Source organism: Homo sapiens, chromosome 2 (assembly GCF_000001405.40).
Source record: "Homo sapiens chromosome 2, GRCh38.p14 Primary Assembly".
Lineage (NCBI taxonomy): Eukaryota > Metazoa > Chordata > Mammalia > Primates > Hominidae > Homo > Homo sapiens.
The window spans coordinates 227489619-227505779 of NC_000002.12; the positions used below are offsets into that span (position 1 = coordinate 227489619).

Consider the following 16161-nt stretch of genomic DNA (forward strand, 5'->3'; position numbering starts at 1 on the left):
TATAAAATTTAAAGCAAAACAAAACAACAACCAAACCCAAGTTAACTTTTCCCTACTTTGAAATTCGAAACAAATGAAGTGTAACTTGTCTTAATTCAGATCATGATCTGAAAGATGACATTTATCTGTGACAAGGGGGAGGGAGAAAAAGAAGCAGTGAATTGAGGAGCTTCTCCTTTGTGTTTTGACAAGCAAAAATACTTTTTTTTTTTTTTGAGACAGAATCTTGCTCTGTTTTCCAGGATGGAGTGCAGTGGCACGATCTTGGCTCACTGCAACCTCTGCCTCCTGGGTTCAAGCAATTTTCATGCCTCAGCCTCCCGAGTAGCTGAGATTACAGGTGCATGCCACCACGCCCAGCTTATTTTTGTATTTTTAGTAAAGACAGGGTTTTGCCATGTTGCCCAGGCTGGTCTTGAACTCCTGACCTCAGGTGAGCTCGTCGTCTCGGCCCCCCAAAGTGCTGGGGTTACAGATGTGAACCACAGCACCCAGCCCAAAAATACCGTGAATTTCTAGAATGTTACGCACCATATTTAATTATTCAAAATGTTCCCAAAATATTTTTTAAAAACTTCTGGTACATTTATTATTTTATATCATTGTTAAATATCCTATTTAATTAGTGTGAATGATTACAAATTGACTGACAAATTCTTTAAAAATATTACTGCAGTTGGCCGGGCGTGGTCGCTCACGCCTGTAATCCCAGCACTTTGGGAGGCCGAGGCAGGTGGATCACGAGGTCAGGAGATTGAGAACATCCTGGCTAACACGGTGAAACCCTGTCTCTACTAAAAATACAAAAAATTAGCCGGACGTGGTGGCGGGTACCTGTAGTCCCAGCTACTCAGGAGACTGAGGCAGGAGAATGGCGTGAACCCGGGAGGTGGAGCTTGCAGTGAGCCGAGACTGCGCCACTGCACTCCAGCCTGGGCGACAGAGCGAGACTCCGTCTCAAAAAAAAAAAAAAAAATTACTGCAGTAATTGCTGTAGAACCTAGAGTTCAAATGAGACCTTTGTCAGAGAACATGACCCCAAAGTAGTTCTGTGGAACTTTGCGTAGGTTACTTGGTATTTTGCATAGATTATTGGGCCATTATTCTTGTGGGTGGACCTGCCCACAAGATAGTTGGACAACATGTAAATAGTTATTAAATCTGTTTGAGTGCATTTCCACTCGGTTTTTCATGTGCGTGTTCAAACATCAAGGTAAAGTCCTTTTAAGGCCATCCATACAGAAAAGGCTTCAGGGTTCTAAAGGACCTTAAAAATTGTTAAATCATGCATGCAGCAATTTTTTTGAATCTCTTCCGTATGTCCCTGCAGTTTCCTCTTGTACACACTGTCTTTTGAGGTGACTGAAAATGTTCTTTATTATAAATTCTTACTTGAATTGATGGCAAGATAGGACTTTACTAATTGGTTTATTACCTCAATTCATGATATTACTTGTAATATAGTTTTCTAAATTAGTCTTAAGCTTATTTAAAGCTAACAGCTGTTTGATAAGGATATTTGTATAGCTCTGGTCTTATTATATCATTGTTTCTTAGGAAATATGAAATATTTAAAGAATTTTAATAATTCTTTCATAGAGTTCTTCATATGTATAGTCTTTTCATCAGAAACACACTAAAGCACTATTTGCATTTCCTAGAAACTCATGTGTCACAGTTACTTTGTGTTTTTAACTAGGTGGTTAATTGAATTTATTGTTAAGTCTATTATTTAATGAGTCTAACCAAACCTTAATATCTATTATTAAGTTTAATAGTTTAAAATAATTTAAAAATACTTTGAGTTTATGGAATGAAAACACTGTTTCAAGTTTGTGTGTTGGTTAGAAATATTTTGAATTACTAGATGTGTCATTTTAAAAATGTGGTATGTACTAGTAAATTTTGTAAAATATTTTATCTTTTAGGCGAGGATTAAATCCACCACACAGGGTGAAATCTATCTCCATGACAACATTCACACAACAGGAAATTGAATTCTTACAAAAACATGGAAATGAAGTAAGTGGTTTTTTTTTTTTTTTGCAATTTTTGACTTTTTTGTTGGCAGTCATTTTAATGAGATTTAATAAGTTATTTAAAACGTTGAATTTCACGGTCTAAATAAGTTATTTTTGTATTTTATATTTAGATATTTTAAAATGTACTCATTTAATAATGTATTTGGAATTAATGTTTACTACATAAACACTTTACCGTAAATCTGAGGTGAAATGTGTGTATTTAAAAGTCATCAGTCTTGAATATAAAAGGCGTTTCGGAGGACACCCATTATTACAGTTATTGTTAGTCTTCGCTTCAAAAGTCAAAAAAGAGGAAGAGAATTCATTTTGTGATGTTGTGTTAAACTTGTTAGAGTGTTGTGTGATCAGCTTTCACTTGAAGTCCTCTATTTTTCGTAAATTTTTAACTTTGGACGTGTAGGTGATGTGTAATGTTTAGCAGGTGCTCAGTAGGGAGGAGGTTAGTAGTTCTCAGTGGCAGCTAAGTGTCATGGGGAGCCAGATGGTATAAAGATTTGGATGGAAGCTTTTTTTCTTCTTGCCTTTAATGGGCTTCCAGTAATTCTATTCTGTTTGCTTGTTTGCTTTTAGCTCTGTGTTTTGCTATTAGTAAAAGTTTTTAAAATTTTTCTAATATTTTTAAAATTAATAAAATTAACAAAGAGAGTGGGCATTTTTTTATAATCCTGCAATAAGGATGAGCCAGTTAACCCAAGCTGATTAATAATAGCTATTATTATTTGACAGAAAAGTCTCCTTTTCTAGAAAGGATAAGTAGTACTTTAGTGGTACTCTTCTGGTTGCATCTTTGATATCCTTAATAAACATAAAGTAAGTTAAATATTAAAATTTTATTAGTTTTAATCTTCTCCTTGGACCCTTAGAAAATATATGCAAGCATTTTACACTCTGCCTTTCTTCCTAATACTCTGAAAGTAATACCTTAAAATTGTTTGCCTACTTGTGATGTCCACTTGCTTTTGGTTCTAAAATAGTGAGGAAATATAAATTCACAGCTATGAAATATTTTTAAATATTTCATATTAAATTATTTAAAGAAGAGAGCACATTTTGAAGTCTCCAGATTTTGCCGATGACAAATTATTTTGAGTATTCAGATTCCAGACTAATGTGAGTACATTATAAGAACATGTAAAGCTGGATGAAAAGGTAGGAGGCTTTTAATGAAGAGTAAGCATAGAATAATATATATATTGATTAAAATACAATTTGAACTACTTGTGTAAAGTTTACAAGTAGGATTAACTTAACATTGCACACTTGAAGTTACTTTCTTAGAATGTTGGCTTAGTGTGCAAAATTTTGGAAATTAGAATGGAATCAGAAATAAAGAATATTATTCTATCTTTAGATTAAAAATATGACAGTAGGTAAAAACAGAGTAGCAAAACTGTGATAACAGCAGTCAATTGAAGAAGTGAAAATATAACAATATGTGAGATAAGGTTAGGTGGAGACTGGTCCAAAACAATACCAAGATTGAAGGAGTATATATTTTTTTAATTGTGGTGGGAACATTGATCTACCCTCTTAACAAATTTTTAGATGTGCAGTATTCTATGGTTAATTATAGACATAGTGCTGTATAGCAGATCTCTAGAAATTAATCATCTTGTATAACTGAAACTTTATACCAGTTGAATTACAGCTCCTCATTTTATCTTCTGCCCCTGTTGCCCCGATTCTACTCTCTGCTTCTATGGGTTTGACTATTTTAGATACCTCATATAAATGGAATTACACAATATTTGTACTTCTGTGATTGGCATATTTAGTGTAATGTCCTCAAGATTCATCCTTATTGTCATGTATGGCAGGATTTCTGAAGGAATATTTTTTAAGGCTATAGCATTATGGTAAATTTAGAGTATATAAAAAGAATTAGTTAATTTTTAGGAACTCACTGTATCAAAAAGTAGAAGCAAAATGTAAATGTTATAAGTGACTGAAATGTATTTATGAATCTTAAGTCCTACAAAGAGGTTTGCAAGTTGATAGACCACTCAAAGCACTTACCATGACAATCACTGTCACTGTGCTGGGTATTAGGGATGTGGTTATAGATGTGTTACACCGGCTTAGTGGACAAAGGGCTCACAGTTGGTGTGACAGATACATAACAGATAATTGCAACATGGTATTAGATAAATAATGATAAGAATAAGAAGTATCAGCAGTAGTATGGAAAAAGGGAATCAGTATTTTGGTGGAAAGGAGAGGATTGGGAAGACCCGACAGAACAGATAACACATTTGTTGGTTTTTGAGGGTAACTAGAACCTAAGCTGGTAGTGGAAGTCACTGAAGATGGAGCAAACAGTACAAAAAGAAAAAGGGAAACTTGCAATAGGTTGCTAGGAAATATACTAACCTTGTAAATGCTTGTTAAGGAAGACAAACATACCTTCTTATAGTATACCAAAGAACATCTTAGAACCAAAATAATGGACAGGTATGTTTGGTTCTTTACAGTATTAACAGTATCTGTGTTCTTAAAATTTTGAGAGGTGTGTAGAGGGTGATGAAGATACGAAGTGTGGGACAGTTGGTACAGCTTTATAACCAAATCTTTATGGATTTCACGTGCAAGTGTTCTATTATCAGTTTATCTTTTTTAAACCTTTAAATGGTAAATATCACTTGCATAGGGAATAGTACCAGAACGTAAGTTTACATTTCAAAATAAGTTGCCATATTCTCTCGTCACCTTTTAATAGTTTGGAAAGGGCCATATTCAGTCACATAAGTTTTGGATTAAAAAGGCTCTATCATACATCTTGTGCATGAATGAGTTCATGCCTGAAGATGAGTATTTCCAAAATTAAAAGATCAGAAAGTATATTGGCTTTGGCAGCAGCCTTGGATCTTTGATCCCCACCAGGGAGTTTTAGTGAGCTGTGGGGCATGTTTGGTTGTTGTCACTATTGGAAGATGTTGCTGGCTTAAGCAGGCAAGCACCATGAATGATGAATGACTTGTAATGTGTTGAACAGAATTAACCTGCATGCCATATGCTATGAATGTTCCTCCAGACATTTATATGTGGGAAACATCTGTGTATGGTCTTCTGCATATATAATTTAATTCTGTCTTAATACTTGCATTGTAGTTGAACATCCTATTGCCAAAGAAAGTCATGCTCCAAGCCCAGAATCAGAGTGAGAGGGGCTACCAAGTTACAGGGCAAAGGGCATGGATACAATCACACAACTGATGGCAATACGAATTGTATTTTAGTCATCAATAAAGTATATCTGTATTGGTAGCTGTGGTAAGCAAATAATGTTATTACTATTTATAGATATGCATAGAGACCATACTTACAGAGTAGATCATTAGTTTCTACAGATGTGGTTTACAAATTTCTTGACTATTACTTTAGTGTTTATAGACTTCTACAGTGTGTTTGGTGGAGGAGATATGTATATCATTAAGTTACAGCACATAATATGCCAGATGCTAGTAAAATATTTCGCATTGGAGCACTTTGTATTTATTTGCTGAAGTAATTTTTGTCATTTTTTTCAGAACCAGAATATTTCACAAAAAGTTTCCATGTATTTCTTTTGTATCATACAGTTACTTTAAAAAAAAACCTGTAGTGATCTTGGCACTGTAGCTCCCCTGTAATCCCAGCACTTTGGGAGGTGGAGGTGGGAGGATCCCTTGAGGCCAGGAATTCGAGATCAACCTAGGCAACAAAGCGAGATCCCATCTCTCCAAAAATTTAAAAATTAGCCAGGCGTGGTGGTACACATCTGTAGTCCCGGCTACCCAGGAGGCTGAGGTGGGAGCATTGCTTGAGCCCTGGAGTTCAAGGCTGCAGTAAGTCATGATCATGCAACTGCACACCAGCCTCGGTGACCAAGCGAGATACTGTCTCAAAAAAAAAAAAAAAAAAATCTATAGTGATTTTCTGTATGTCCTCATTTGTGATGTCATGGGCAAATTATGGTTTTCTAGTTAAAGGAAGTTGGATTAACTTCTGATTATAAAGTTAACGGAAGGTGGACTGGTGAACACTGCTGTAAGTAGATAATTCAATGGAGAAGAAAATTTAGAAATAATTTTATTTTGAAATATGTATAGTTTATGTTTTCTAGTTGTAAGTTAACCTTCCTAATATGTTTGAAGACTAAAAGTAAAAGCATTACTACTGGCCAAGTGCAGTGGCTCATGCTTGTAATCCCAGCTGTTTGGGAGGCTGAGGCGAATGGATCAGTTGAGGCCAGGAGTTCAAGACCAGCCTGGCCAACGTGGCGAAACTCTGTCTCTACTAAAAATATATATATATTAAAAAAAAAAATTAGCCAGGCATGGTGGTGTGTGCCTGTAATCCCAGGTACTTGGGAGACTGAGGTGGGAGAATCGCTTGAACCTGGGAGGTGGAGGTTACAGTGAGATTGTGCCACTGCACTTCAGCCTGGGCAACAGAGTGAGACTGTCTCAAAAAAAAAAAAAAGAAAAAAAAAGAAGACATTATTATTAATGCTCCACAGGCATGGTCTATGTGTAGGAGTAAAATCAGGCATTGCATGCCAGTATTTGATTATCTCTATACTGGATTAAAAACAAAACAAAATGATTGCTTTGAAAACCCATGCAATAACGTACACTTTTCCCTTGTTAACATTCATGATTGATTCATTTTTGAAGCAGAGATTTATTAATAAATTACCTACTGTGGGAGAATGGCGTGAACCTGGGTGGTGGAGCTTGCAGTGAGCCGAGATTGCGCCACTGCACTCCAGCTTGGGCGATAGAGCGAGACTCCGTCTCAAAAAAAAAAAATAAATAAAATAGCCTGCTGTGTGCCAGGAACTGTCCTTAGGTCCTAGGGATACAAAAAGGGAGATGATTCCTGTCCTCCCCTTGCAGTCTTCTACATGCAGGAGACATAATAAAAGTACAGTGGTCTTGTGCTGAAAGCTCAGATTTGGACTATGCAGGTTGTGAACCTTGGGCAAGAAGCTTTTTAGCCTTAATTTCTATTGGTAGTAACTATAATACCTATGTATAAAAATGCTAGGATTTTTTGAATTAGGCCAACTTGTGAAAATTCCCAGCGTATTTCTTGTCAGATAGTATTTATTTATTGAATCTGAATCTAAAGTGGTAGAAGTTATAAGAAGAATTATCAATTTTTATTTTCATTCCTGGTTTGGATGGTTTCTGTAGGGGGATTTTTCAGTTTTCATAGCATACTGTCATGTCATTTACATTAATATTCGGGTTATGTATTTAAACTCTTGGAGCATTTTAACTTCGATTTTCTGCTGAGTTTAATAATAATGAAAATTGATAGTTATTTTAGTAACAACATATTGCCATGTAGAGTGGCAGAGTTAAGTTATATACTCATTAATTCAGGATTTACAGCTATTCTGTTGCCTATGGCAGGGGTTGGCAAACTGCTTGTAGTGGCCAGATAGTAAATATTGTAGGCTTTGTGGGCCACCTGTATTCTCTGTTGCATATCCTTGTTTGAAATTCACCCCCTCTTCCCCCCCCACCCCACACACACAATTCTTTAGTGTAAAAACCATCTTTAGATTAAGGCAGTATAAAAACAGGCTAGTGATGACCCAGTTTGGTCTGCAGATTGAAGATGTATAGAACTCTTAACGTTTCAGCTTGCAATGTAAATCTTTTTATGACCTGACTTCTTAATGTAATGACGTTATTGCCAGCAGAAATGTTTTAACTACAATGATCTTTGTTTTGTTTTCCACATGTGCTATCTGTATTCTAATTTTCTTGCCATTTTACCAATGCTGGCTTTTATTTTTGCTTGACTTTTCTCTTCTAATCCCATCAGTCTTTCAGGAGTTTTTATACCTCAGATACTAACACCCCCATATGTATTTTAAACTGTTTAAAAAATAACATTCACTGTAAGATTTACAAAAAAAAATTTTTTTTGTTATTGCTCTTAGTTTCTTCTGTATTGGTCTTACTGCCCTCAAGACATTATAGACATCTCTGTGGCATAATCTTGCATACGTCTTAATTATACCTAAAGCAGTGAAAATGCACAAGCATATATAGCCAAATGAGTTTCTTTCTTGTTTTGTTTTTTTTTTTTTTTTTTTTTTTTTTGGGGACGGAGTCTTACTCTGTCGCCTAGGCTGGAGTGCAGTGGTGCAATCTTGGCTCACTGCAACCTCCACCTCCCAGATTCAAGTGATTCTCCTGCCTCAGCCTCCCAAGTAGCTGGGATTACAGGCATGTACCACCATGCCTGGCTAATTTGCTAGGACTCAAAAAAATCCGTGGTTTAGTTTGATTACCACTAATTTATGAACCTTGTTACCTTGGGGAAACCACTTTTCCCTGACCTTCATTTTCCTTTGTAATCTGTGGGAAATATCTGTTTTGCCTATTTCATGAGGTTGATTTGAAGGTAGTATATAGGAAAACATTTTGAAAATTGATGTATTATATAGATGTAAGATCATGGTTTTATTTTATTTTTTAAAATTAAAAAAAAATTTTTTTCCCCAGGTTTGGTAACTTGCCCAAGATCGTGCTTTTATGGGCAAAGATACTTTTCCAGTTGATTCCTAAACACAGAAAATAAGTATCACATAGGAACATGGCATGCTTTGAATTGAATTTAGGGTGGAGATAAATTTTTGCAGAATTTCAGTCAGTATGATGGTATTAATAAATGAAAACATTCACTAATAATACATTGAAAAACATTTTAAACTACAAAATTAATTATTTGAGGGAATAGCTTCCTAGAGGGATATCTCAGGTTTAAAACCATCCAATTAAAATATTAAAGCACACTATTGTTATTATTTAAGGGATATTTATTTAGTGTCTGCATATTTATGCACGTCTGGCCTTTTAAGCATTTTGAAAGGAAGGTATGGTGCTATGGCTCTTCTAAATATTAGCTGAATCTAGTCAGTAGTAACTTAGTAAAGTTGAAAATATTTAGAGTATATTATTTGATGTTAACTGTTGGCTTTCAGAGAAATACACTAACAAAAATGTAGAAAATGTAGACATGTCTTTGTGTTGAACATATCATAATCCGTGGGTCTTTTTGAATGACAGAAAACCCAGAGATTTATAGAAGAAGCTAGATGTTGTTTGTAACTACTCTGAGAGTTTACTTAACTTTTTTTACATTACATATTCCAGGTTACAGTGTATTTCTTTCTAGCTGTTTGCCTTACCATTCTAGCTTCCTGTAATCTCTTAGCTTGTTTTTTTCTTGCCATTGTGTGTTATCTTCTAAAAAATCTTACTTGACTCGAATTAAAACAATATAAATCATTAGATGCTTTTGTTTCTTTTTTAAAGAGTTTTTTTGTGGAGTTATTCATGCCTTTAGACAAGTAGATAATGTAACAAACTTCCATCAACACATGGCTGTCTTTTTATTATTTTTAAGCAAATGCGAGACATAAAATTTCATCTGTAAACTCAACTCTCATGTTATCTGTAAATTTCAAGGACTTTAAAATATATATGGCAACAGTGCTATTTTTGTCCCTATGACAATTAACAGTAATCTAGTCATCTGGTCAGTGTTTTAAGTTTTCTGTTGTTCATCAGTATCTTACTTTTCTTTTTTTTTTCTTAATGGTTTGTTTGAATGAGGATCCAGGTAATATCCACACATCGAGTGGTTAAAATGGGCTTTAAAACTTTGTATTGCTTATAAAGGATTGGAGGCTTGGCTGGGCACCATGCCTCATGTTTGTAATCCCAGCACTTTGGGAGGCTGAGGCAGGCAGATCACTTGAGGCCAGGAGTTCGAGTCTAGCTTGGGCAACATGGCAAAACCCCATCTCTACTAAAAATACAAAAATTTGCTGGGCGTGGTGGCGTGTGCCTGTAATCCCAACTACTCTGGAGGCCAAGGCACAAGAATCACTTGAACCCAGCAGGCAGAGGTTGTAGTGAGCCAAGATGGCACCACTGTACTCCAGCCTGGGTGACAGAGTGAGACTCTGTCTCAAAAAAAAAAAAAAGGAAGAAAAAAAGGGATTGGAGGCTAGATGGATCACAGTGACACCTACAAAGATTGGACTGGAATGGACCTGTATTAGTAGTATGTGGCATAGATTCAGGCAGAGGTTTGTGTTAGGGGCCTCAGGCCAGGTAGTTATTCTGGAGCTGGATAATCTATAACCTGGGGCCCCTGCCGGCTTAAAGTCCCTGGGAAACATAGCAGCTCAGGTGACTTCAGTGCCTTATGGGACACGGACGCAGCCCGAGTGCTACCTGGTACACATCTGAGTTGTAGTCCTTTTCCTGTGTCTTTTTCATTGCTCTGGCATCAGCTGCTACTCAGTCTCCTTAAAATTGATGTTGGGTTCTTACTGCAGGACAAGAAGCCTGTTTGTCTGTCAGGACGGCAGCTGACATTCATTTTGGCAACAGAGTATGCCATGTGGTTATGGGGTACGTTATGAGCTGGTAAGAAGAAAACAAACAGGCCCTCCAGCCTCATAGGTTTTTGAGGAATTGGTAATGATGTTTAAGGTTTGGGTAGTAGTAGCCAAAGGCCATGCCTGCAAGAACTTCTTGTTGATTTGGGTGATATTTTTTGGTCAGTCTCTTACTGGACCATGACTCCCACTACTTCCCCAAGGACAATCTCATACTGGCCTGTGATCCTAGGTTCTTTCCAAGGATGGAGTGTCTGTGAGCAGTTATCTTTTGATAGGAGAACTTGTCCTGCTTTGTGCCATCTAATGGCAGCATAGTGTCATAGGTCTTATGGCAGGTGAGCAGTGGTTCACCAGCTTGTCTGCCTGCAGGGAGCCTGGTTTGGCTATCTGCTACATTGTCTCTCAGAACCTGCTGTCCTAGGTAGCTACAGCAAGACTCTGGACTTGGGTAGAGAATGCTCAGAGCCATAGCACAATGGCCAGATCTGCCTGTTTTCGTCCCCTCCTCCAACATTATTATGGAAAATTCCAAATACATAAAAGTTGAAAAATTATACAGGTACAATAAACATTGTGCTATATTTGCCTCAGCAGATATCTGTATCCATTCATCAGTCCATCTGATATTTCAAAGTAAGCTCAAAACATTAGTTCACATTACTTGTATAAACTGCAATATATCTATCTTTTTTATTTTTAAATTAAATTAAATTAAAAAAAAAATTTTTTTTTTGAGACAGAGTTTCGCTCTTGTTGCCCAGGCTGGAGTGCAGTGGCATGATCTTGGCTCACTGCAACCACTGCCTCCCAGGTTCAAGTGATTCTCCTGCCTTAGCCTCCTGAGTAGCTGGGATTACAGGCGCTCGCCACCACGCCCAGCTAATTTTTTGTGTTTTTAGTAGAGACGAGGGTTCATCATATTGGCCAGGCTGGTCTTGAACTCCTGATCTCAGGTGATCCACCTACCTCAGCCTCTCAAAGTGCTGGGATTACAGGCGTGAGCCACCGTGCCCAGCCTAATTTTTTTTGACAGAGTCTTGGTCTTGTCGCTCAGGCTGGAGTAGTGTGATCTTGGCTAACTGCAACTTCCACCTCCTGGATTCAAGAGATTCTCCTGCTTCAGCCTCCAGAGTAGCTGGGGCTACAGGCACCCACCACCTTGCTGGGCTAGTTTTTGTATTTTTAGTAGAGATGGGGTTTTGCCATGTTGGCCAGGATGGTCTTGAACTCCTGACCTCAGGTGATCTGTCCACCTTGGCCTCCTAAAGTGTTGGGATTATAGGCATGAGCCATTGGGCCTAACCCAGTATATCTATCATTAATTAGAATTCAGTATTCGTTCAATTTTTTGAGGTATAATTTACATACAGTGAAACTTAAGAATCTTAAGTGTACTTTTGGATGAGTTTTGATCATTGCTTCCAATTTGGTAATCCAAAGCCCTATACAAATATACACATAAACATCATTACAGACAGTCACTGGACACTTCTTCCTATTCAGTCCTTCCCTGAATTTTTTGAGACAGGGTCTCAACTTCTGTCACTCCCAGGCTGGAGTGCAGTGGCTGGATCACGGCTTACTGCAGCCTTGACTTCCTGGGCTCAGGTGATTCTTCCACCTCAGCCTCCTGAGCAGCTGGGACCATAGGCATACACCACCACGCGTGGCCCATTTTTTTATTTTTAGTAGAGACGGAGTCTACTTCTGAGGCACTGTTTTGTTTTTTTATTCACATTCATATAAAGTAAGTTAAAATGTGATTTTTAAAATAACCCTCCTTCCTTTTTTATTTTTTTTGAGGTAGGTTCTTACTCTGTTGTCCAGGCTGGAGTGCAGTGGTGCGATTACAGCTCACTGCAGCCTTGACCACCTGTGCTTAAGCAGTTCTCCCACCTTAACCTCCCAAGTAGCTGGGACTACAGGTGCGTGCCACCATGCCTGGCTAATACTGTTTATTTTTGTAGAGACGAGATCTCACTGTGTTGCCCAAGTTGGTCTCAAACTCCTGACTAAAGCGATCCACCTGTCTTGGCCTCCCAAAGTGCGAGGATTACAGGCCTGAGCCACAGTGCCCAACCAAAGTAAACCTTCTTTTGAGAGTTATGCACGTGGATGCTTGTACTTTTTCCTGTTTATTACCAAGTATTGGCTTCTATTCTATGAATAAATTATAATTTGTTCATTCTTCTTTGTCAGATATATCCTTAGTAAATATTTTCTCCCAGTCTGTGGTTTTTTGTTTTTTGTTTTTAATTTTTTGAGACAGAGTCTCACTCTGTTGCCCAGACTGGAGTACAGTGACGCGATCTTGGCTCACTGCAACCTCCGCCTTCTGGGTTCAGTTGGTTCTTGTGCCCCAGCCTCCCGAGTAGCTAGGACCACAAGCGCACACCACCAGTCCCAGCTAATTTTTTGTAATTTAGTAGAGATGAGGATTTGCCATGTAGGCCAGGCAGATCTGGAACTCCTGACCTCAGGTGATCCACCTGCCTCGGCCTCCCAAAGTGCTGGGATTACAGGCATGAGCCACCATGCCTGGCCCTCATTTATTTTCTTTTTGATATCTTTTGGCAAGCGGAAGTTTTGTCATTTTGATGAAATACAATTTATTAGTTTTTTGTTTTATAGTGAATGGTTCCTCTTCTCTGTCTTAAAAAATCTGCTTCCTCTCAAATCATGAGGATAATCTTATTTATTTTAGAAGCTTTACATTTACATCTGTGATCCATCTCAAATTAATTTTAGTGTATGGTGTGATAGGGATTGAGTTTCATATTTTTACATGAATATATACACTTCTAGCTCTATTGTTGAAAACACTTTTCTTTCCTCGGTGTTGCTTTGGAGTCTTTGTCAAAAATGAAATGACCAGGCAGGGCATGGTGGTTCACGTCTGTAATCCTAGCACTTTGGGAGGCAGAGGTGGGCAGATGGCTTGAGCCCAGGAGTTCAAGACCAACCTGGGCAACATGGTGAGACCCTGTCTCTACAAAAAATACAAAAGTTAGCCAGGCATGGTGGTGTGCACCTGTATTCCCAGCTAGTTGGGAGGCTGAGGTGGGGGGATCACCTGAGCTTTGGGGAGGTTTTAGGCTGCAGTGAGCTGTGATTGCACCACTGCATTCTAGCCTGGGCAACAAAGTGAGAAGTTGTCTCAATTAAAAAAAAAAAAAAAAGAAATGACCGTATAATTACGGGTTATATGCTCTCTATTATATAGTGTCATTTGTGTATTTGTTAACCCTTATGCCATACAACACTGTCTTTTGGTTACTCTGCTTTCCTAGTAAATCTTGAAGTCAGGTAGTACAAATCCTTCAGTTTTCTGTTTTTAAAGATTGCGTTAGATATTCTGGGTCAGGGGTTGACCAACTAAAGCCTGTGGGCCAAATTTGGCCTGTTGCCTGTTTTTATATGGTCTACCTGATTGAGCTACCATTGTGAGACATGGAGACCAAGCTGGATTTTCTCTCCCTTCCTTCCTCATTTCTCCCTCCACTGTTGGCAGCTTTGGGCACCAAGTGGTGGAATCTGGGAGTTGATGACTCAGTCACCTTTGACCAGCTGCCCAAATTGAGATGACTGGGCTCTTTGGGAAGTTGGAAAGGCACACCAGGATCTGAGTGTCACTGTGGTGGAGAGTGAAAATGACCACAGTGCAGATTATCTGTTTGTCATATTGGTTTTGATAAATTGTACTTTTCAGGGAATTTGCTCATTTCATCTAAGTTGTCATATTTATTGACATAAAGTTATTCATAATAGTCTTGTTCTCTTAATGTGTATGGGATCTATAATTACTTTGCTCTTTTATTATTTCCTTCTGTTTACTCTGGGTTATTTCCTCATTTTTAGCTTACTAAAGGTGGGACCTGAGGTCATTGATTCTACAGCTTGCTCTTTGAATACAGAGTTAGAGGAAAGATAATGTTATTAAGACATTAATAAAGAAGGGAAAATGTATTTACTGTTTATTAAGTGGAAGTAGATTGTGTTCAGTAGGCTGAGGAGGAGGAAGAGGAGGAGGGAGGGACTGGTCTTGCTGTCTTGGAGATAACAGACTGGAGAGGTGGAGGGGAGGCGGAAGAGGCAGGGACACTTGGTGTAAATTTTTTTTTTTTTTTTTTGAGATAGGGTCTCAACTTCCGTCACTCCCGGGCTGGAGTGCGGTGGCTGGATCATGGCTTACTGCAGCCTTGACTTCCTGGGCTCAGGTGACTCTCCCACCTCAGCCTCCCAAGCACCTGGGACCACAGGCATACACCACCACGCCTGGCTCATTTTTGTATTTTGAGTAGAGATAGAGCTTCACTATGTTGCCCAGGCTGGTCTCTAACTTTTGGGCCCAAATGATCCGCCTGCCTTGGCCTCCCAGAGTGCTGGGGTTATGGGCTTGAGCCACTGTGCCCAGCCAACTTGGTGTAACTTTTATTGAAAAAATTTGTGTTTAAGCGGACATGCACAGTTCAAACTCATATTGTCAACTATTAACATTTTAAAGTGATCATTTTCCCTCTAAGCTCTACTTAACTGTGCTATACAAATGTTGATGTATTTTATCATTTGGTTCAAAATGTTTTCTAATTGCCCTTGTGGGCCTTCTTTGACCCATTGATTTATTTAGAAGTAGTGGTTTAATTTTTACATATTTGAGGTTTTCCTAGGTCCTTTTCTGTAATTGATTGCTGAGTTAATTCTGTATCATCAGTGAACATTTTTGATATATTTTCACTGCTTTCCTTTTTATTGAGATCTCTTTATGGTCCAGCACGTGTTCTGTCTTGGTGAGTGTACAGTGTGTACTTGAAAGGAGTGTGTTTTCTGAAGTTGTTGGGTGTAGTGTTCTATAAATGACAATTATAGCTCTGTGATTGATGGTGTTTAGATGTTGTGGATCCACGTTACTGATTTCGTCTAGTTAAGCAACTGCAGATAGAATTGGACAGCTGGTGTGGATTTACATATTTTTTTCTGTAATAAATACATCATTTTTTGCTGCATGTATTTTGAAACTTTATTATTGGTGCTGTTATATAATTATTATGTCTTCTTGATTATGCCACCATTATGTAATATCTTTTTTATGTTTGATAATACTCTTTTTTGAAATTTACTTTATCTCATACTTATATTGTTTTTTCTTTGTAGTGATGGGTAGTTGTGAAACACTTTATTTTTGTTTTCAGAATGTGACTGTGATGCACCTGGATATGCTTTGTGTATGTGTATGTATTTATCCTACTTGTGGTTGATGATGATCTTGAATCTGTACATTTTTCATTTACCAAATTGGGAAAATTTTATCATTTTCCTTCCAAATATTTTTTCTGCCTCATTCTCTCTCAGCTCTCCTTCTGAGATTCCAATTGCATGGATGTTAGGCATTTTGATACTGTTCTGCAGTTTCCAGAGGCTCTTAATTTTTTTCCCTCCATCTTTTTACTTTCCAGATTGGACAATTTCTCTCTTATCCTAAGCTCACTCTTCTGTTATCTCTAAGCTCTAATTTTTAACTTTAGATATTGTCTTTTCCATCTCTAGCATTTGTATTTTTTCTGTTATTTCTAGAGTTTCCATTTCTCTGCTCAGATTTTGTTCATTTTTATTTATTGCAAGGATGTTTTCTTATATGATATGGTCTTTTTATTTTGTTTTTTTTGTTTGTTTGTTTGTTTTTGAGACGGAGTCTTATTCTGTCGT

General features: G+C 37.7%; 1 protein-coding gene across 4 annotated transcripts in view; it reads left to right on the forward strand.

Annotated features, from left to right (window-relative positions):
- The window catches only part of AGFG1 (ArfGAP with FG repeats 1), an 89062-nt gene that overhangs the window by 17463 nt on the left and 55438 nt on the right, over positions 1 to 16161 (forward strand). For all 4 annotated transcript variants that reach the window (NM_001135187.2, NM_004504.5, NM_001135188.2 and 1 more), the window contains exon 2: positions 1929 to 2022. In NM_001135187.2, the coding sequence (NP_001128659.1) occupies positions 1929 to 2022 (94 nt within the window). The remainder of the gene's footprint in view (positions 1 to 1928; positions 2023 to 16161) is intronic.